The 22,071-nt window shown below is 37.7% G+C and overlaps 1 protein-coding gene and 1 pseudogene across 12 annotated transcripts in view, besides 2 other annotated features; one reads left to right on the top strand and one right to left on the bottom strand.

Annotated features, from left to right (window-relative positions):
• Nucleotides 1-22,071, bottom strand: part of CDKAL1 (CDKAL1 threonylcarbamoyladenosine tRNA methylthiotransferase) — a 697,948-nt gene that overhangs the window by 507,550 nt on the left and 168,327 nt on the right. The window lies entirely within an intron of this gene.
• Nucleotides 2,252-2,321: a silencer, noted in NCBI's record as "silent region_16981". NCBI's record gives its function as "represses an Ori minimal core promoter by ATAC-STARR-seq in GM12878 lymphoblastoid cells {active_cell/tissue: GM12878}" and the evidence as "EXISTENCE:reporter gene assay evidence [ECO:0000049][PMID:35858748]".
• Nucleotides 2,285-2,574, top strand: RPL36AP25 (ribosomal protein L36a pseudogene 25; annotated as a pseudogene).
• Nucleotides 16,110-16,159: an enhancer, noted in NCBI's record as "active region_24132". NCBI's record gives its function as "activates an Ori minimal core promoter by ATAC-STARR-seq in GM12878 lymphoblastoid cells {active_cell/tissue: GM12878}" and the evidence as "EXISTENCE:reporter gene assay evidence [ECO:0000049][PMID:35858748]".

The following is a 22,071-nucleotide window of genomic DNA, read 5'->3' as shown; positions in this document are numbered from 1 at the left end:
TCTAGCTTAGTGTTAAAAAGTCCTGAAGGAAAATGCATACTTGGGCTTATTTCTAGCTCCATCTACCTGAATGCTATGAGAGCTGTAGTACTATGAGATCCCAATCTGATTTCAGGTGGAAGACACAGCCAAATGAATTTGTTTGTTTGTTTGTTTGAGGCAGGGTCTCACTGTTTCAGACAGGCTGGAATGCAGGGTCATGATCCTGGCTCACTGCAACCTCCGCCCCCCAGGCTCAGCCTCCTGAGTAGCTGGGACTACAGGCACGCACCTCCACTCTCAGCTTTTTTTTTCTTTTTTAAGTAGAGACGGGTTTCACCATGTTGCCTACACTGTTCTGGATCTCCTAAACTCAAGCCATCTGTCCTCCTTGGCCTCCCAAAGTGCTGGGATTACAGGTATAAGCCACTGTACCTGGTCTCAAATTTAGAATTGGCCATGTAATCAGAATTAAACTTTGTTTTAACCTCATAAAAGGTTATCAAACAAAATTTTACAAAGTCTTTTTACATCTTTTATCAAAGTCCATTTTCAAAAAGAAAAGGTATTAATGTAAAAGCTACTCCCTTGCAGGGAGTAACAAAAATGCCCTTTGTTATTCAAAATAATACAAAAGTGGCTGGAGGTGGTGGTTCATGCCTGTAATCCCAGCACTTTGGGAGGCCAAGGCGGGCAGATCACTTGAGGTCAGGAGTTCGAGACCAGCCTGGCCAACATGGTGAAACACCATCTCTACCAAAAAATACAAAAAAAAAGTATCCAGGTGTGGTGGCACATGCTTGTACTCCCAGCTACTCGGGAGGCTGAGGTGGGAAAATCACTTAAACCCAGTAGGCGGAGGTTACACTGAGTCAAGATCATACCACTGCACTCCAGCCTGAGCGACAGAGTAAGACCCTGTCTCAAAAACAACAGCAAAAACAGTGGCAAAGCAAGAGCCACTTGAGTCCTGGGAAAGATAAGAATCTGGAATGGTGTCTCCTTAGCAAATTTACATAGTCACAAAATTCCCCAACCTCTGAACAGAGGCAAAAGAAGAAATGAACTTCCTTCAAAGCTACCTCAACTGGGCTTCAGCAAGTTGTAATTCTGCATAATCAAAAAGTTCCACTAAAGGGGCAAGAGGCAGAGACTAACAGTATTTTAGGACACTTAAAAAAACTCATTTTTCTTTCTGTTCCAATAGCACTCCTATAAACATGGTGAACATTCCTAAAAACCATCAAACTTTCTGTAACGCGTGTGGCAAGCACCAACCCTACAAAATGACACAGTGCAAGAAGAGCAAGTAATGCAGGATTTTTGTCGGCCCCTTTGCCGGACTCCCAGCAGGGGTGCCCCCTCTACTCGGCCTGCCACACTCAACCCCTTGTGGAGGGAACACATGAGCGAGCAAGTGCAGGACCTGGCCAGTTGCTCCAGATGCCGACACAGGAGCAAGCTCCGCGCAGGGCCCACAGCCAGACCAGGCATGTCGCCTCAAGGGGAACACAGCTGCACCCAGGTGAGGATGCCCATGACCCCAAAGCCCCAGAGGGGGTGATACAGTGCTTCTTTAGTTCTGCCATCCGCAGACAGCGTGTGTTAGCAGCTCAGCTGGCCCTTGAGGTGGCATCCAGGTGAGGGTGCCCACGACCCTGAAGCCCCAGAGTGGGTGTTACAGTGCTCCTTTAGTTCCACTGTCCACGGACAGTGGTGGGTTAACAGCTCAGTTGGCCCCTTGCCTCATCACATGGGGCAGCTGCCCTCCACTGGAAAGGGCAAAGGGCTTGTGTGGCAGCCTTTCTGGGTACCTGCAGTTGATGGGTCCCAAGCTCTTGTCCAGCATCCAAGAAGAATGAGGTCACATGGATAGCTGAAGGATGGTGAAGATGGAAAATTTTATTGAGCAATGAAAACAGCTCTCAGCAGAAAGTGGAGGTGGAGAGGGGATGGGAAGCGCAGGTCATCTTCCCCAAAGTCAGGTTGTCTCTACCCCGATGTCAGGCTGGCTGTCTGGCTGTCTGTCTCTCTCTCCTCTCTCTCCCAACTGAGTCTGGGGTCTTTATAGGCACAGGATGGGGGCAGGGCAGCCCATAGGTAGTTTTGGAAAAGGCAACATTCAATTGGTAAAAAGGCATTAATCAGAAAGAACCAACCAGAAGAGAGTGGGCAAACAGGAACAGAAGTTCTCACTTTGGGCTGCGGGTTTCAGGCTGTTTTTTTGGTTTTGTTTTTGATGGTGAGGTTTCACCAGGGTCCGGCCCCTGTCTGTCTACAATTTCTCTGCCTCCTGCCTCTACTACAAGGATTCTATGTGTGCCCAGGGTAAGCAGCATTATGACAGGAAGCAGAGTGGCTATGGTGGGCATACTAAACCCATTTTCTGGAATTCTGTAAAAAGGCTACTGCCAAAAAGAAGACTGTGATGAGGCTTCAGTGCTTTGAGCCCAGTTGCAAATCTAAGAGAATGCTGCCTATTAAGAGAAGCAAGCATTTTGAACCGGGAGGAGAAAAGAAGAGAAAGAGCCAAATTAACTAGTTCTAAGCATCATCTTTTATTATGAAGACAATAAAATCTTGAGGGAAGGTTCAGTGGGGAAAAAAAAAAACCCTCATTTTTAACATGCTTGTCTTGAACTATTTCAGAACGTATTATGGTCCCAAATTATCCGTGTTGTTTTCACAGCAAATGAAAGCTGACCTTCATAATTAAAGATGGAAAAATGATAATTTGAGTCCCCTGCCTTCACAGGAGTTGGCTTCCAGAGTAACCTGCAAGTAAGTTGAGGCCACAAGTATGGCTCTCAATATAAAAGTAGTTCTACATAAAATAACAAAATCGGGCCAGGCACGGTGGCTCACGCCTGTAATCCCAGCATTTTGGGAGGCCAAGGGGGGAGGATCATGAGGTCAGGAGTTTGAGACCAGTCTGGCCAAAATAGTGAAATCCCATCTCTACTAAAAATGCAAAAATTAGCCAGGTGTGGTGGCACAAGCCTGTAGTCCCAGCTACTCGGGAGGCTGAGGCAGGAGAATTGTTTGAACCCAGGAGGCGGAGGTTGCAGTGAGCTGATACCATGCCATTGCACTCTAGCCTGGGTGACAGAGTAAGACTCTGTCTCAAAAAAAAAAAAAAAAAAAAAAAAACAGAAGTTGGTCAGGGTGCAGAGAAGAAGGAATGCTTACGCACTGTTGGTGGGAATGTAAACTAGTACAGACACTATGGAAAATAGTATGGAGATTGCTCAAAAAACTAAAAATAAGATTACCATTTGTCCAGCAATCCCACTACTGGGTATCTACCCAAAGGAAAAGAAATCAACATATTAAAGGGCTACCTGCACTTACATATTTATTGTAGCACTAATTACAATAGCAAAGACATAGAATCAACCTAAGTGTCCATCAATGGATAAAGAAAATGTGGTATATATACCTAACGGAATACTATTTGGCCATAAAAAGAATGAAATAATGTCATTTGCCTTGGAACCAACCCAAATGTCCATCAATGATAGACGGGATTTAAAAAATGTGGCACATAAAAGCCATGGAATACTATGCAGCCATAAAAAAGGATGAGTTCATGTCCTTTGTAGGGACATGGATGAAGCTGCAAACCATCATTCTTAGCAAACTATCTCAAGGACAGAAAACCAAACACCACATGTTCTCACTTATAGGTGGGAATTTAACAATGAGAACACTTGGACACAGGGTGGGGAACACCACACACCGGGGCCTGTTGTGGGGTAGGGGGAGGGGGGTGGGATAGCACTAGGAGATATACCTAATGTAAATGACCAGTTAACGGGTGCAGCATACCAACATGGCACACGTATACATATGTAACAAACCTGCACGTTGTGCACATGTACCCTAGAACTTAAAGTATAATAAAAATAAATAAATACATAAAAAGAACAAAAAGAAATAATGTCATTTGCAGCAATATGGATGGAACTGGAGGTCATTATCTCAAGTGAAATAAGGCAGGCACAAAAAGACAAATATCACATATCCTCACTTACATGTGGGAGTTAAAAAATGTGATCACACAGAAGTAGAGAATAGAGGCCAGTGCGAGGGCTCACGCCTGAAATCTAGCACTTTGGGAGGCAGAGGTGGGCAGATCACTTGAGGTCAGGAGTTTGAGACCAGCCTGGCCAACATGGTGAAACCCTGTCTCTACTAAAAATACAAAAATTAGCCAGGCCTGGTGGCGTATGCCTGTAATCATAGGGAGGCTGAGGCAGGAGAATTGCTTGAGCCCAGGAGGTAAAGGTTGCCGTGAGCCGAGATCACACCACTGCACTCTAGCCTGGGCTACAAAAAAGAAGTAGAGAGTAAAGAAAGACAGATAACAGAGGCTGGGAAGGGTGACTGGGGAGAAGGAATGATGAAGAAAGGTGGCTTAAAGGGTAAGAACACAGAAGGAATAAATTCAATATTTGATAGCAGAGTAGGAAGGCTACAGTTAACAAACATGTGCTGTACGTGGGTGGTGGACACCCTAAACACTCTGACTTGTTTACTATGCATTACACACATGTAACTAAATTTCTCATGCACCCCACAAATTTGTGCAAATTTTTTTTTAAAGAAAAAGGTAGACAAACAAAAAATGCCTATATATGGGCCTGTATCCATTAGCATTGCAACCAGGAAAGCAGAACAGTGCCACCAAATGACTTAAAGCCACCACAGGGCCCAAAACCACATCAAGAAGACCAGTAACTTCCCTATGCCATAAGGAAGCCAATCCCATGAGGAAGCCAATCCTCAGAGAACCATGATCTTGTCACCTTTGAATATGCAATCACCAAAATCCAGACTACGGAAAGGCTACAGGTCAAAAGGCCCAGGTTCTTCAACAGGTAAACTGTAAGGAATAGAAAGAAATGGAGGGGAGCCTGTAGATTAAGAAAGATTTAAAATACGTACCAGGCTTTTTAAAATGAGCAAGATTTAACTTTATTATCTAAGCACAAGCAGGGGAAAAAGCCATAAGGAAACATAAAGAAGTGGGCATTATAAAAGTCAGGAGAGTGGTTACTTGTTGAGGTAGAGAGAGATCTGTGAGTTTCATGGGGAACATAAAAGGGTTTTCCAGAGTGGCTGGCAATGTTTCATTTCTTGAGCTAGTGGTAAGAGCTACAGGGTATCTTACTTAATTCGCTAAACTATACATTTCTGTGTGGTTTTTAAATTTTTTATTGTATTTTACAATAGAGGTTAAACATAAAATATTTTAATTAAAAATACTCTAAAATTAAATAACCTGAGATTTCCCAGCCCTCAAAAAGAAGAAGAGAAATAAAACCATGGTAGCTGTCTCTAAAGTCTTTTCAACCTTCCTATGTATCTCAGAACCCACATGAAAGTGGTTTTAACCCATGGCATATAAATACTATGTCACAGTTAGCTGGAAAAATTCCTATGTACACTCGTATTAGTAGAAACAAAACTGTATTTGGTCCTCTGACCATCCTTATCAGAAGTAACTAGGATGACACTAAAAAGACCAAATAATTCAGAATTACTATTAAAGAGCTTTCAAAGAGAGCACAACTCAAAGAACCTGTTTGTTTTCTATATTTTGTGGTAATGAGTTAAAACCATTGAGAAGACTGAGGCAAATTAAATGCACAAAGTGTACACAGAACTCATCTGCCCATCCTCCTCCTCTACTGTGGCTGGGTAACTTCACTCTTCTCTTTCTGAGAACACAACTGTAAACTTTAAAAGGCAGGATGGTTCAGGAAGGAAAACCCTACACACTGACTGTCCAGAGACCTCAACTTGAACCCGGACTCTGCCATGAACTGACAGAAAGACAAATCTTCTTCTCTGAGTCTTCATTTTCTCACAAGTTACATGAAAATGGTTTAAAAAGATGAACCCTAAGGTTTCTTCCAGGACTAAAAATCTATTATTGTGATGGGAAATATTTGCCCCTAGAGGTAGGATTAAGAAGAAATACCACAGTAGTAGATGACGTCATTAGACATTTTTTCTTTTCCAAATAGTAAGAAGTTTTTTTTAATTATAAAAAAAGTAAAAATATTTTTGAACACTCTCCCAAAAGCTGCAATCTGCACTCAATTTTTACACCTTGCTAATAGAAGATGCTAATCTCCAGCAGAATTGAAAATTAGCAAAGAAAAACATAAGAACAAGGTTCATTTTATCATCTTAAATTCAAGCTTTTTCTACCAGCTTTCATATATCCATTTGTAAAAATGTGATAAGAGGGAAGCTTGTGGTTTTAAAAAGTTAGAAGAATAATAAACTATTTGAAAACAGGCAATATATTCAGCTTCTTTTCTTTCACCCCCAGTTTGTAGTATGCAAATTTGAACTCCATATATCAAAACCCTAAACAGTACTCAAGTCACTACACTAAGCCCCTAACAGAAGAAATAAAACAAGAAATGGATGCCTCTGTAAGATGAAAAACAAGAGTTTAAGGGGTGGTCCTAGGGAACTGTCAATGTCTTCTAGAGAATAACAAAATTATCACCATGACAATAGGATTTCTCTTTTTGTACTGTTTAGGCTTTTCCAGAACAATTTTCACATGCATCATAAGCTGCCTGATGAAGAACCCATGAGTGGGAAGTATTACTCCACAAATGAGGAAAATATGGTTCAGGGAAATGAACTGGAAAATGGAATACAAGATTGAGAGATGAATTAACGTTGGTCTCTACTACTTACAGCTAAGAGGGGCACTTGGAGTCCTCAAAGAAAACAGAATGATGTATATAATCTCTACCTGCTAAAGGGTGGCACTTCACTTTAAAACCTGAACAAAAAGAACATCTCAACTCAGTCATCTGTGTTAGAGTGGCCACTAGGATTTCACAAGCCTGGGACAGTTCACTGTGCAAGGGATTATGCTCAACAACTCTCAAGACCTGGAGGCTGCAGAACAGCTGAATGAGCACACTGAACTAAATGAAACCATCCTTTCTCCTTCTCTACTGTGCCTGATGAAAAATTAGAGAACCAGAAGAGGGAGAAGGCAAAAAAACACAAGGTTTCTAGATTTCAAATTCCCCATATACAAAAAAGGTGGTGAGGGCTCCTGACTTATGCCCTATGTGGCCCAGGGAAACTCAACTCTACCTGTTTAAAGAAAACATATTCAGACATATATTGCTAACCACAATAACAACCAAAAAGCAACAGCTAAGTGAAGAATACATTTATAAAGTAGTATTTTTAAAATAAAATATTTTATATTGCTCTAATAAGGCCTTCCCCATTAAGGGTCTCAGCAAATTACCTGCCTTCTGACTTCACTGAGAAAACAGAAACAAGAAGAAGGAACCGCTGTTTCATTACACCATCATATCTATCAAACTACCTGTTCTGTATCAACATATTAGTTTTCCCACCTGTTACAATAGATCAGCTGTCCTCACTCCCCAGTAAGCCTGATGCTTCTGCTTGTGTGCTAGATCCTAGCCTTTCTGTCATACTTTGGTCCTGTAAATTATCCTTTTCCCTTCTACAAAGCTTTTTTCCTCTATAATGGATCAGACTCAATAGCATAAATATACGCATGTATTTTGTATTAAAAATACAAAATAAAAACTCTCCCTTGATTCTACATCTTCCCAACCCCTGCCAAGCTCTAGCTCCATTTCTGCTTCCCTTTATAGCAAACCTCCCCTAAAATGCAATAAGTACTTTATCTCACTTCCTTGGCTCTCATTCTGTTTAAAACCCACTCAAATCAGTCTTGTGTGTCCACCTCTCCACTGAAACTGCTCATCAGAACAACCACCAGTTCCCTATTGACAAATCCAGTAAGTCAATCTTCAGTCTTCATCTAACTCAATTTCTCAGCAACACTTACACAGCTGATCACTCCTCCTTCTGGAAACATGCTTCACTAAAACACTTCCCCCGACTTCCTCCACCTCTACTGATCAGTGCTCCTCAACCTCCTGAGCACATTCTTAGTCCTTGGTTCTCTCTTCTCTGCCTTCCCACATTCTCTGGGTGATCTTCTGCAGTCCCATGGATTTACACACCATCTACAGCACATGATTCCCAAATTTATATGCCAAACTCCAGCCTCATACATATAACATATCAACTCAGGTATCTAGTAAATGCCTCAAATCAAGTATACAAACCAACAAATTCTTCTTGACTTCTCATTCCCACACCCATCCCACCCCAAACAAAACAAACAGAAAAACTCCTCTTCTGTTCTTTCTCATCTCAGATAAATGGTACCAACATATGCCCAGTACTCAACCCAGACCCAACCAAACCAAAACAAAATGAAACAAGCAGTTACCCGATTGCTCTCTTCTTTTCATTTGCACAATCTACCTCCAAGGCTACCTTCAAGACAGAATTCAAATCCAAGCCCTTCTCATCTCCACTGGCACCACACTCATCCAAGCCACATCATCTCTTGCTGTACTTTCTGTCCAACAGCAGGATAATTTTAAAAAATCTCATTCCCCAGCTCTTCACAAACTTCTGCTCTGCCACAGCATTCAAGTCTCTGTTCAAATATCACCTCTTTCAAATGGTTTCCCTGACCATATTATATAAAATAGGCCCCATTTGACCTCATCACTCCTTTTTACTTTATGCTGCATGCTTATTATCAAGCCTATCAAACCTGAAATCCTGTTTTTATTTTGAAAATATTTAGTTAGTTCCTATCTCCCCAATCCCCACAAGGCTGAGAAACTCTCTTATTCATCACAGTGTGCACCAAACCAGAACAGTGCTTAGCTTACTGCAAGTGCCAAATAACTCTTTATCAAATGCCTGAGATTCTATCAAATCCTTTTCCCTTCAAATGTCATATCCCATGAGCACGCACTAGCTGTCTCTCACCTTCTCATTCGTCTTCTTACCTAAGTTGAGAAAAACTAAAATTACAAGTGAAATAGTAAAATAAATCCATATCAGAAAATAAACCCACAACAAAATGGTAAATTCTATCCCAGATCCAATTTTTTCAAAACGAAGTTTTCATTAATGCTTTTGTTTATTACTAAAGCAATACATGCAACCTAGAGGAGAAAAGTCAGGAAATACTGACTAGGAAAAATAAGAATATTTTAAATATATTTTCAGAATATCCTACATAGCTGTTATCAAAAAGACAAAAGATAACAAGCATTGATGAAAGCGTGGTGGAAAGAGAACCCTTGTGCACTGTTGGAAGGAATGTAGATTGGTACAAACCACTATGGAAAACAGTACGGAGGTGCCCACAGAAATTAAAAATAGAACTACCATATGACCCAGCAATCTACCTTCTGGGCATATACCCCAAAAAGATGAAATCACCACTTCATAAAAGATCTCTGCACTTCCATGTTCATTGCAGCATTATTCACAATAGCCAAGAAATGGAAACAACTTAAGTGTCTATGGACAGACAAATGGATAGAGTAAATGTGGTGAATACATACAACAGACTATTATTCAGTCTTTAAGAAGGAGAAGATCCCGTCATGGATGGGCCTGAAGGATATTAGGCTATGTAAAATAAGCCAGACACAGAAAGAAAAATATTGCATCATCTCACTTAAATCTGGAATCTTTTTTAAAAAGGTGGGGGGAGGGTTGGCAAATATAATACATAAAGGATAAAACAGTGATTCTGGCAGAAGTGGGAGAAAATAGGGAGATGTAGGTCAAAGGATACAAAGCAGCAAACACAACAGGATGAACAAGTTGAAAGATGCAATGTATAACATAAGGACTATAGTTAATAATGTTGTATTATATTCAGAATTTTTGCTAAATGAGTAGATTATAACTGCTCTTGCCACAGGCAGGGAAAAATGAATAATTGTAAGATGATGATCTTAATTTGTTCCACTATAATAATATTTTTACTATATATGTGTCTGATCACGTATCTTAAATTTATACAATAAAATTTATTTTTTAAATAAAACAAGGCTGCTAGTCACAAAATAAAAACAGTTTAACAAATTCATAGCATGATGCAAAGTGATTTCCTCACCTTCAGAAGTATCCCTAATTCTTCAGATGTAGAGGTTATACTCTATAAACTCTTATGTATGCCAAGTGTTTTATTTTAATATACAAGTTTAAAATATTAGTTAAGTTAAAATTCTAGACTGGAAAACATTAGTTAACATTGGGTAATAAAGAAGCAGCAAAAGTCTGCCAATTTTCATTTCAGTGAAAAAAGAAAAAATGTCACCCATATCAGGTGAATGGCTCAGGCTAGTGAACAAGAATAGACAATAATACAGTTTGGACAACATTGGAAGACCCAGTCTCTACAAATAATAAAAAATTTAGCCAGGCATGGTGGGTGCGCACCTGTAGTGTCAGCTACTTGGGAGGCTGAAGTGGGAGGATCACTTGAGCCTGGGAAATCAAGGCTGCAGTGAACTATGATTGTACCACTACACTCCAGTCTGGGTGACAGAGTGAGATTCTGTCTCAAAAAAAAAAAAAAAAAAAAAAAAAAAAGAACAGACAATAGTATCATTAATATTAACAAAAGCATTGAATTTGGGACATCATTGATTACGACAAACACTTAACATGCAAAAAATTTAATAAAAAATATTTTAATATTAAAAATAAGAGACTAGCATAGCTAATAGCCTTAGACTATTATCTTCTGGATCAACTGAACATTATGAGAATTTTTTGTATCATAGTACTTTGTTTTTATTTACTTCTTGCCCATAAGCTGGTGGTAATTTGCCCTTCATGTTATTATGATAAAAAAAAGAACATCTTTCATCCTGGTCGATAGATCCTGCTTTTTCTTTATTTCTTAAGTATAAGTCTATCTTGACAAAAGCATTTTTCATTTTTAAAAAGTGTCATAAGAAATCATTTTGCTTGCATTTATGTTTTCTTTTTTTAAGGATAAAATAGTTTGTTTAAAAGTCCAAATATGATCAAAGTTAGCATCACTGATGTATTTTAATAGAGTGAATAAAGTATATGTCTCACATTTGATTTTTACAAAAACCAAAACAGGTAGGTGGCTCTAATTTTTCATACACATTTATCTTGTGGTAACTTGTGATAAGGTATTTAGAAAGCTCTATAAATAAAGAACTTGTCTGACTTTTCTATGTCAATTGTTAAGTATTATATTTCTTGAGCTTAGATGTTGTTTTGTTTTTAACAAGAAAAAAAAGAAAAATTTTAAGTCAAAATCGATCATAAAAATCTTTATTTTCATTGTACAGTGTATGAATTCTAGTTCATCAAGTATTTCTTTGCAAATGTGCTTACCATATCCTTTTTCTGGGTTACCTGAAATATCTGTTGGTTTGCCTTGCAATTATTCTCCATGAATATATGGGGCAATGAATTATCCAAGTAATATGAAAAAAGAATATCAGTCTCCTAATATGATGTCTATGTCTTTGGAGAGTGGAGAGTAAGTATTAGGAACTAAGAATGATTTACATCATGTACTCTTAGGATGTGGTATCATTTTTAAATAATTAAGATACGAGTATTATTTAAAGAGAAACAAAACATATAAAAATGGCAGTGGAGAGCAAAACATGCAAACTCACTCCTGATTCATTAGAAGAAAAAAACCCTTGTTAGTGTAAGCTCTTTTCTAAATTAATTAATTCAATCAAAACTTAAGAAACAGCTTTAAAGGATGCAAGTAAAGATATGGCAGAATGTCGATTCCAGGTATATGCTTTGCATTAACATCAGAGGGTAAAGTCTCTTACCTGTGCTTCTTGAAATAATTAAAGTCATCCTAGTTTTTGTTCTAATAAACACTTCTCATTACAGGCATCAAGTAAGTAATGATTGCTTTTCACAGAAGTAAGAACTACATGATCACAAGTCCTTTGAATCTTAGAATCTTACAAAGATTAAAAGAGAGTGTTTCATACTGTAATATACAGCATTTTTAAAGTTATATAGGCCAGGCATGATGGCTCAGGCCTGTAATCCCAGCACTTTGGGAGGGTGAGGCAGGTGGATCACGAGGTCAGGAGTTCAAGACCAGCCTGGCCAACATGGTGAAACCCTCTACTAAAAATACAAAAACTTAGCTGGGCATGGTGGCGGGTGCCTGTAATCCCAGCTACTTCAGAGGCTGAGGCAGGAGAACGACTTGATCCCAGGAGGTGGAGGTTGCAGTGAGCCGAGATTGTGCCATTGCGCTCCAGCATGGGCGACAGAGTGAGACTCCATCTCAAAAAAAAAAGTTATATAACTTTTTCTTGAAAAACAACAATCATTTTGAACATTAGTTGTTATACATACAGATAATGGTGCTTACCTCTGATTAGGTGTTTTTTTCTTTTCTTTTTTTAAATTTTCTTTTCTTTTCATTTCACTTCTTTTTTTTTTTTCTAACACATCAAGCACACTGATTAGGTATTGAAGCCAACATTTGTCCTAAAACTTTCCTTAAAATAGTCCTGAAACACCATCATGGCTAAGTTTTGTGCTCTTATAGATACAGAAGAAGGGTATGCTGCTCATGACTAATTCCTGTCTGGTTTCCACTAATCCCTTAGGTGATAACTAAGCTGTCATTTCCTCCAGAAAAGTCTTTCCTGACCATTGCAACTTTGGATTCAGGTTTTCTCATACATTCTCCTGTAGCACCCTGCATACTGCCCCGAGCACAGACTGTTGTATTCTGTTACCACTCTCTCTTGGTTTCTGTGCATCTCCTACTGGCCTCTACTCAAGATGATTAGCTCATCACTTTTGTTTGCCAACTCAGGTTCTTCTCCCTACACACCCCATTTGCTTCCTGGCAGAGATCCGATTTTGTTTGTTGTTTACCCTATGAGGGGCTGTGCTCAGGAAAGAGCCTCCCCACCCCCAAATCCAAAGGTGGGGTTAAAAAAAAAAGTCTAAGTCAGTCATGGCATCTTCATTATCCTTGCTAGTGAGTAACTTTTAGTCTGAGTTTGAGACATAATTTGAATCAATGGTGTGTACTACAGCTTTTGAGAATGGTTTTCTACCTACTAAAAAGAGACAAATGGGAGGAATTCCTCTCTTTACTGGCTGTCATCATGACTGCATGTAATATCTTGAACTATTGCTATTACAGCAATATCACCACTCAAACGAAGATACCACAAACAAACTAAGAATGACAGAACCAAAAGTTTAAATACTCCTGTGTTGCAGAAGATATCATTAAGCCATGGAATTAACACATAAATACCAATTTCCAGACTTCCTGTTCTATGAGATAACACACTTATGATTCATGCTACTTCTGGTTGTTTTCTGCAACATACAGGCCAAAGGTATCCAAACTTTCTTTCATCAAAATGTATTAATGTAAGTGGTGAAATCCAACTCATTCCTGCCTCTGTTTGACTCCAGCATCCATATTATCATTCCGCCATGCTACCAAGGTTTTTTCTAAACTAGCTGAGCCAGGATTCCAATTTGTCTTCTGACTCTAAGTCCAAAACTCTTTTTACTATATTACAGGTGATTAAGGAATCTATGCTTCAGTCTTTTATTTACAAATGTAGAAGTCTGACACTATTCGAAATGCCAGACAACATTAGAATCTCATATTTGGCTAATGACATACTCGAAATATTGGGAAAATGTAATGTGTTTATACCTACAAAATAATTCCTTTCTAATGAATTAACATGTATATTTCAAAACAGAAATACTCTTCTCTACAATCACTGTATACACCGAGGACAGAACTGATATCTATCTCACAACTTTTATTTGCTTTTTACCTGTTCCTTCTTGTTCAAATAAACTTAATTACATATAATCTTAATCCTACTAAAAAGCCACACCTCTAGAGGAATGATATATGTCGCTCAATTCCCAGGAAAGCAGTGGTTACAATCAATGAAAAGAAATAGACATTTTAAGAAAATTAAAAAGGAAGCATTTTACAAAGAAATGAGGGCTTACAGAGGTTGAATGTTTTACTAGAAATCATGTCAATAGGTAGGACCAGAACCAGAAATTTGGATTCCAATTCCTGATTCAGTATTTTCTCCATAATATCATAATGCTTCCAAATGCCTATTAAAATTTACTGAAAATACTTGGCCAAACAAAAATAATCCATTACTGCATGTTCAAGTAAATCAAAAACTTCTCAGTAAATTAAGGTAACAGATGCACATTACCTTTTATATTGACTCTGTATTTTTTAAAGTAAGCTTCACTATGTCCTAGTTATCTCCTCCACTTTTCTAGTCCACAGATTTCATTTTATTTAAATAATTCAAACTTACTGATTGTTATCAGTTTAAACAGACTTAAAGGGAAGTCAGTTCTAACTGATTTTTACATACAGTCATTCGTCACTTAATGATGCGGATACATTTTAAGAAATGTGTCATTAGGCAATTTCATCACTGTGTGAATATCACAGAGTGTATGTACACAAATCTAGATGGTACAGCCTACTGCACACCTAGACTATATAGTGTAGCCTATTGCTCCTAGGCTACACATCTATACAGCATGTTACTGTACTAAACACTGTAGGCAACTATAACACAAAGCTAAGTATTTGTGTTTCTAAACATAGCTAGATGTGTATGTGGCTCTCAATGGCTGAAACATCACGGGATCATGGGACACATGACTGTACCTACTTTCTACAAACAATGTTGCATGTAATATTTACTAAATTTAGGAAGATGAAACTTGTTACTTTTTTTATTTAAATGCCATGATTTCCCTAATGAAGTAATTATCATAATGTTGACTTCACCCTGCATCCTCTTGGTTATAAACCTAATTACTCAGGGAAGTTTTAACTTGAAGCTCAGGAAATCAACAGTCTTTAGAAATTTATTTATAAAGGTTAATTCATATGGGATTTTCTGCAAGTGTTGTAGTTGATTCCAACATCCATTTCACTCTCGATGATTACTCCAAGCTAATCGCTATAACTCCATTGCCTTTGCCAATACTCGGGAGAGAATAATCTGAGACCAATTTGGCCCAATAAAAACATAGAGAAATTCTTACTCAGGTCTTCAAGGAAAGAAATGCCAGCCTCTTTCCCATTACATACAACAAGGAAAATGTTGATCTAATTGCTGCCCTTGTCCTAATAATCACAGAAAATAATAGCTTGAAGGATGAAGCCAAGAAAGCAAAAGAAAAATATAAAAAGACCCAACCTAGGTCTCTTATGACAACAATGAGTTCAATTAACCCACTCTGAAGCCTTCTTGTACTTCCTGTTGTGCAACATAATCCACGTCCTTATTGTTAAGTGAGTTTCAGCTGAGATTTCTATTAATGAAACCAACAAGCATCTTAACTGATAAAGTAGTAAAATCGAGTCTAGGGACAATGAGCACTAGAAAGGGAAGAGACTACAGGTTGAGGATCCCTTATCTGAAATGCTTGGAAGTGGAAGTGTTCAGACTTCAAATTTTTTTTTTGCATCCCTAATTGGAAAATCCAAAATTGAAAATGCTCCAATGAGTATTTCCTTTGAGCATCACATTGGTGCTCAAAATGTTGTGAATTTTAGAGCATTTCAGATTTTGGATTTTTGGGTTAGGGATGCTCAATCTATTAAAAAAAAAATCTTACAGTATTACAAATAGAATCTCTCAAAAGTACTTTGTTCTTCATTAGACGGTTCAAATACCAGCCAAGGTTCAGGGGTGTGCTGTAGAGCAAAGGAACTTCAAGACTCTCCCTAAATAATATCTAATTTGGGAAACTCTCAGAAAACTAAAGCATTTCTATTCATTTTTTTTTTAACAGCTGTTAGACACTCAGCACACTTCCAGGCTCTGGGGATACAGTCGTAAAAAAAAGAGAACCCCTGCCCTTGGAGCTTACATTGCAATGGGAAGATAATTAACAAGTAAATAAATATCTTCCCATGGATTTAGTTCTACTGTATAAAAATCATGAAGTACTGAAGCAAGTTCTATCATGACCAATGTTTGACTATTATGATACATCAGGGTAGACATAAACAATAAGACTTGGTAAACTCTGTCACTCAAGTGAAAAAAGTCAAAAAGAAAAAACATAAGGACAAGAAGAAAAAGGCTGAAACACAAAGAAACCAGACCAGAAATTGTAGAAAAGTCAAAGGGAAAGATACAGAAAGACCAAGACTACAATATCATCAGACACATGCACACATACAAAAAACTAAAATAAAATAAAGAAATGGAGATTTAAATAGCATCTGTTTCAATTCTGTCATATTAGAATCAGAGTGACTAGGACAGATGGGATGTTAAACCAATTAACAAGGTCTCGAACCTGAAACTGTCTAACACCTTTTTTAAAAAACCTACTTCAAACCAAAAGAAAAGACCAAAGTTCCCAGCCCACGTCATAGAGTCCCTCTAAACCACAAGTGACTTGCCAAAACCCACCACACTGTAACACACATTCCAGGGTTGAGCTAAATCCAATCTGTCTCATAAGCTGCCCAGGCAGGCAAGAATCACCACATAGAAAAGGATAGAAATTCCTGCACCCTTTTCTATGTCATATATAGTAAAGTAGGCCTTGCAAGGAGAGAGAAAACTTTAAATGAAAGAAAATTTCTAAAGTGAACAACACAAAAATTGAAAATTCGTGAAAAAAATTATCCCAAATTTCTTTCCGTACTATTAAAGTCTCTGACAAGGTACTAACAAACAAGTAAATTAAATGACTTGGGTTCCTTATTTTCTCTCAGAGTAAATTTAAGGAAATGTTAAGTAGCCACTGAATTGTTTAACAACTTCAAGTAAAAAGGTAAAGTAAATAAGTTACCAAGATAAGTCATAAGCACTTGACTAAAGGGCTCACTCTTCTAGCACACAGTTAAATTATTTTAGACAGAACAATACGTAATTGCAATTAAGTGCTTTTCCTACTCTTATAATATACTACATATTAAAATGGTTTCAGAGTTTAGATCACAGGTCCATGGGTAATGCCACTGTGGGGAATCCTGACACTGGGTCTTAATATCAAGAAAATACAGAGGATGTTTAACTCAAAGCCCTTCTAAAACGTACATTTTTAAAGATTTTGGCAGGAAGCTTTAAGATTTCTTTAAGCATAAACATTTATTCAATTTACAAATATTTATTGAGTACCTACTTTATATGAGGCACTATACCAGCACAATTAATGCAATTTGAAAATAAGAATTACTCTTACATGCATGAGGAATAGTCAGTTATTCTTGATCATGGAAGATGGCAAAATATGGCTATGCCTTGTAAGTAAAATGACTACATATCCTTGTTTACACCTTTCGTCCTAGCTCTCTGTCACTGACAAAAGTATTCCAGTTTAATCACTGAATTATATGGTTACCCCACCACAGTGGGTAAGCAGACAGGTGCTATATGGTAGCTAGTTACCATAATGCCAAATATTACCTAGATTTCTTTTTTATGTTGTAGATAAGAATAGGCTACCCTTAGATAAAATGTAAAGACTCAGATGTTATATCAACATGATAAAAGCATTCTGTGGTTGCTGAATAATAACTTTTAAAAGGATTTGTTTTCTTACTTCAAACACCCAGTAGTCAAATATTTCATCATTCTGTGCTACTGGATTAATGGTTTGCAACTAACCCAGGCAGATCTCAACAGCCACGTGACCAAGGAAAGACCCAAAACACTGGGACCACTTGCCAGACTGCCACAAGAACAAAGGCCTAGCAGGTGGCTATCCACTGCTCCAAATTAAATCATGCTGCACAGAACATTATCTCCATCATTGTATAATGTTGTTTTGTGTAATGTAACTCCTCATATCCAATTTTCAAAATTAAGACAAAATTGTTTTTAATGACAGACAAACCACAATAGGAAATAACAATGATCTAAATAACGTTGTTCAGGACTCAGTGAAAAGGGTCCCTCCCAGGTCCCAGAAGTAATCACCAAACCCCACCCACCCTCACCCCCAATATTTGTTCAATGAAGCAGTGCTGTATCTGGAACAAATCCCAAGGCCTAGTTAAACACCAGGTGGTACACTGGGGTAATTTTTTTTTTAAGTAACAGATGGCTCAAACTTTTCATCTTTATGACACACAGCACAGGACTTATGCAAGTTAAACTGTCTTCCAAGTACTTTATACAAGTAATACAATTACTCATGTGACTCATCACTTCACATCATAAAGAGAGCAGCAGGTGAAACAGATGCTGTACTCCTGGATTATTTATGACCTTGTATAACAGATATTTAAATGATACACACAAATACAGATAGACACAGATATATTTAAGTGTAGTTATATATTTGATGGTATTCCATCTCCCTAGTTGTAAAGTTAGAGGACACCTTAAATGAGTACTTTGGCTTGAGTAAATAAAAGTAAAATGTTATAAATCTAAAATGGTAGTGAGGAGAAAGGTGTGTCCAGTGCCATTAAAGTCTGGATTGTAGTAGTTTACTCAAAATGTAAGGGTGGAAACTAGGCTAGTTGGATCAGCATATGAGCATCTGATCACTACTTTCAAATTCACCAAAGGGTTGGCGGGAAGCCTAAAGTAAAGAAAAGAAGTTAGACTGAGAGATTTTTTCTTCCCCTTCTTCTATTTCACCCTATTTCACACAACCCTACAGCCAAAATCCAGCCCCAAACAGGTTTGCCTCCCCATACCAGGCAAGGCTAGTGAGAGGCATGGGTATCTCTGGATACAGCAGCAGAATGAAGGCAAAGGAATCTTGATGGGTAGCACCATAGGGCTTTCCATAGAGAGGGCCTGCCTGTCCCAGTCTGCTGTGCCTGGCCTTCCCCACCTCTCCTATTGTCCTGTGAAGTGTGGACCAAATGCGTGGTCAAGGACGGCCCTCATCATCACCTTGGCTTTCTGTGGCTGAAAATCATAAGCACAGCACCCATGGAGACGGTCTGCTGCTGCCCTTGGAAGAGTGACTGCAATGTCAATAACTGCCTCACCAGTGGACCTACTCATAAAGCAACCCCGCTATGAACACATACTACCAGACCCACCACACAGGACAAGTGACACAGGTAGCAAACAGAAGAGTAATCCTAAACAGATTCGAGAATGGCTGTGCTACTGATATATATACACCAAGGAAAGGGAAAGCTATAAGCTTTTCTATAAAGTTAGATCTGCTAAAAACTAGTACTAGACTCCTCTAAAATCCATGAAATGTATACAGCTTCCTGATACATTTTGCATTTGCCTGTGAAGTGAATACCCTATATATGGTTCTCCTGAGTAAAAATGTGTCCTGAATTCCACCAAGTCTTTGCAAAAGAGCTTCTTAGGCCCAGTTGTTTATACATGGGGGTCTTTCCTGGTGAGATCTCCGAATGTCTGAATGGTATACATTTAATTTGTCTTGTCTTTATATGGTATTTAAATAATTATTACTAACTGCTGAGTGTCAAAAGCCTGTACTCTTCCACAAACAGTAGCTAAATAATAGTTGTGATTGATGCTGTTCTTTATAAAATATTTTGTGAACAAGCTTAAGTAATAATCTTATTATGCCAGAAACAAAATTTCATTTATTGATACTTGCTTTAAAATGAAAAGAATCACAGTGAAAATTGTGCTCAGTAATATTAAACAAATAAAATGCCACAAATATTGTCATTTGTACAATGAAAAAAAGTCAGTTATTTTCAAATATCTACTTTTGCTAAAGCATATCACACAAATCCTACGTTAATTAGTTTACACTTAAGGTCAGCTACCTCGCATGCCTTGCAATTATAAATACCATGATCAGTGTTTCTGCAATTACAGGAACTTGATCATTTTGTACAACACTTCCAGGAAAAATTAACACTTGCAAAAAAGCTGACTTTTAAATTTACAACTATTAATTATCATTCTACTTCTATTCTCCCCTTTACCCAAGTACAATAAGAAATTATTGCAGGCTACTCACATTTTTAATTGAATGTGAATTGTTATTCTCATTTTAGTCAGGCTTTCTGACCCATTTATTCCAAACCTCATATTCTTTGTTGCAAATTAACCAGATGACCACCCTATAATGGTATTGGCACACCATAAATTCAACAATTTACACAGGCCTCGGGGCACTGGACTATACCATCTAGAATTCCATTTTGAAAGAGTAAATCACAAAGAGATTCACAGAAGTGGGATTTAATTTGAGAAACAATGAGCAAATTAACTATTATTTCCTCACTTCTGGTCTAGGGACCTCTTCCATATATCCTTGTTTTCTGGTTTTATACTGCTGTCACCTCATACAGAATTTAGCTTGGTCTCATGTGGCTTTGCCTCTGATACATATTCAAAGCTATTCATTAAGTAGAAAATAAACTCATCTCCTACCATTCTCCCTCTGGCACTTTCTATTCCAGCCACACTTGCCTCTCCTTGCTGTTTCTTGAACATGACAAGCACATTCCTCCCCCAGTGTTTTTTTTATTGCTGTTTCCTCTGTCTAGAATGTTCTTTTCTCAAATATTCCCATTACTCATTACCTTATTTCATTCAGGTCCCTGCTCAAATCATTTTACCAGAGAAGTCTTCCTTGACTACGCTACAAAAAATTACACCCCTCTTCTCTCTCAATGCCTTGCTTTCATTTTCTTCCTAACAGTTGCTACCAGACTTACATGTTACCTTTCTTTAAGCTACATGACAGCAGAAAATTTGCTTCCTTCATTGCTATTATCGATCCCCAGGTCTTAAAAAAGCACTTGGTGTAATTTGATAAAAAAATTGAGTCAAGGAATGTTTGTTTGTTTCTCTCCCTACCCACATAAGCTCATTAAGTATTTTGTTTTATTCAGTACTGAAATCCCAGAGCCTCAAACAGTGCTTAATACCTGAAACAATCAATAATTGTGTTGAATGAAATCCCCAACACAGGCCTGCACTTTTCAAATGCTCTCAAAACTGAAAACAATAAAGACATAATTTTATTAGTGTTTAATTTGATCATTAAATAAAAATTCACTATTTCTCAAGTAACTGAAACTTTTAGCAGTTTTCAAAGTTTAAATTCACACCAAAATAGACTATATCCACACATTTGTGTATTAAAAATATTCCTGAAAATATGTGTAAAACTAATTATATAACATCATGTTTTTACACTTACTACAGTCTCCTCTCCAAAAAAACTTACAGCCCAAAACAAAAATTTTTTACTAATTTTTACTATTATATCATGTTTTTACTATTTATGTCATATTTTCCTGTTAACTATTATAACCTTCCCTAGAAAAAAGCTGTAGTCATTGACATACTAAAATTATAGCTCAATTGTACCCTAAGACATCATAACATTTTTACTTCATTCAAATGGAACAATAACTATAAAATATCTTCAAAATCATCAAATAGCTATATATATATTTTTTAAATGAATCACAAATTCCCTTTGTTTTCAACAGCAAATACATTAGAGCACATAAAAGAGTTGGGTTTTTTTTTCCTTTTTGTTTTTTGGATATTAACCATCTACACCAAAGGTCAGCAAAATTGTTTATGTAAAGTGCCAGATAATAAATATTTTAGATTTTGTGAGCCATATAGTCTCTATCGTAACTACTCAACTCTACACTAATATTGTGAATGCAGTCACAAACAGTACCTTAATTAACTAGAGCAACTCTGTTCCGATAAAACTTTATTTATAAAAACAGGCAACAGGCTAGATTTGTCCTGAGGGCCATTGTTTGCCAAGCCCCAGTCTACACCACTTTCTTTATTTTAACTTTATTTAACAAAGCCAAGAACAACCCAAGCTATGAGGAAGCTACGTGCCAAAAGTCAACTTACAATGGAGGTTTTGTTTTTAAGTTTCACTATATTTGCAACACATATTCTAATGGAAACCATATTACAGTAAGTTGTGAGATTCTTAGACAAATGAAACTCAGCTCTTCACTTCTCTCTATACCCAATTAGAAGCAAAGGGAAATCCTATTTCTGCCACAGACCCTAGTGATACGGGAGTGCTGGGAAGGGAAGAGCGTGGTCCCTTCAAATGATAAAGAAGTGGTGAAGGGAAGTGCTGGGTAGAGAAGGGCGTGGCCCCTGGCTAGGGCTCCACCCCCACAGACCTAGGTGAGGACAGGCACTCCTGCCTTCACATCCAAAT

This window comes from Homo sapiens, chromosome 6, assembly GCF_000001405.40.
Source record: "Homo sapiens chromosome 6, GRCh38.p14 Primary Assembly".
In the NCBI taxonomy this organism is placed as follows: Eukaryota; Metazoa; Chordata; class Mammalia; order Primates; family Hominidae; genus Homo; species Homo sapiens.
This window is presented reverse-complemented; position numbering and strand designations above follow the sequence as displayed.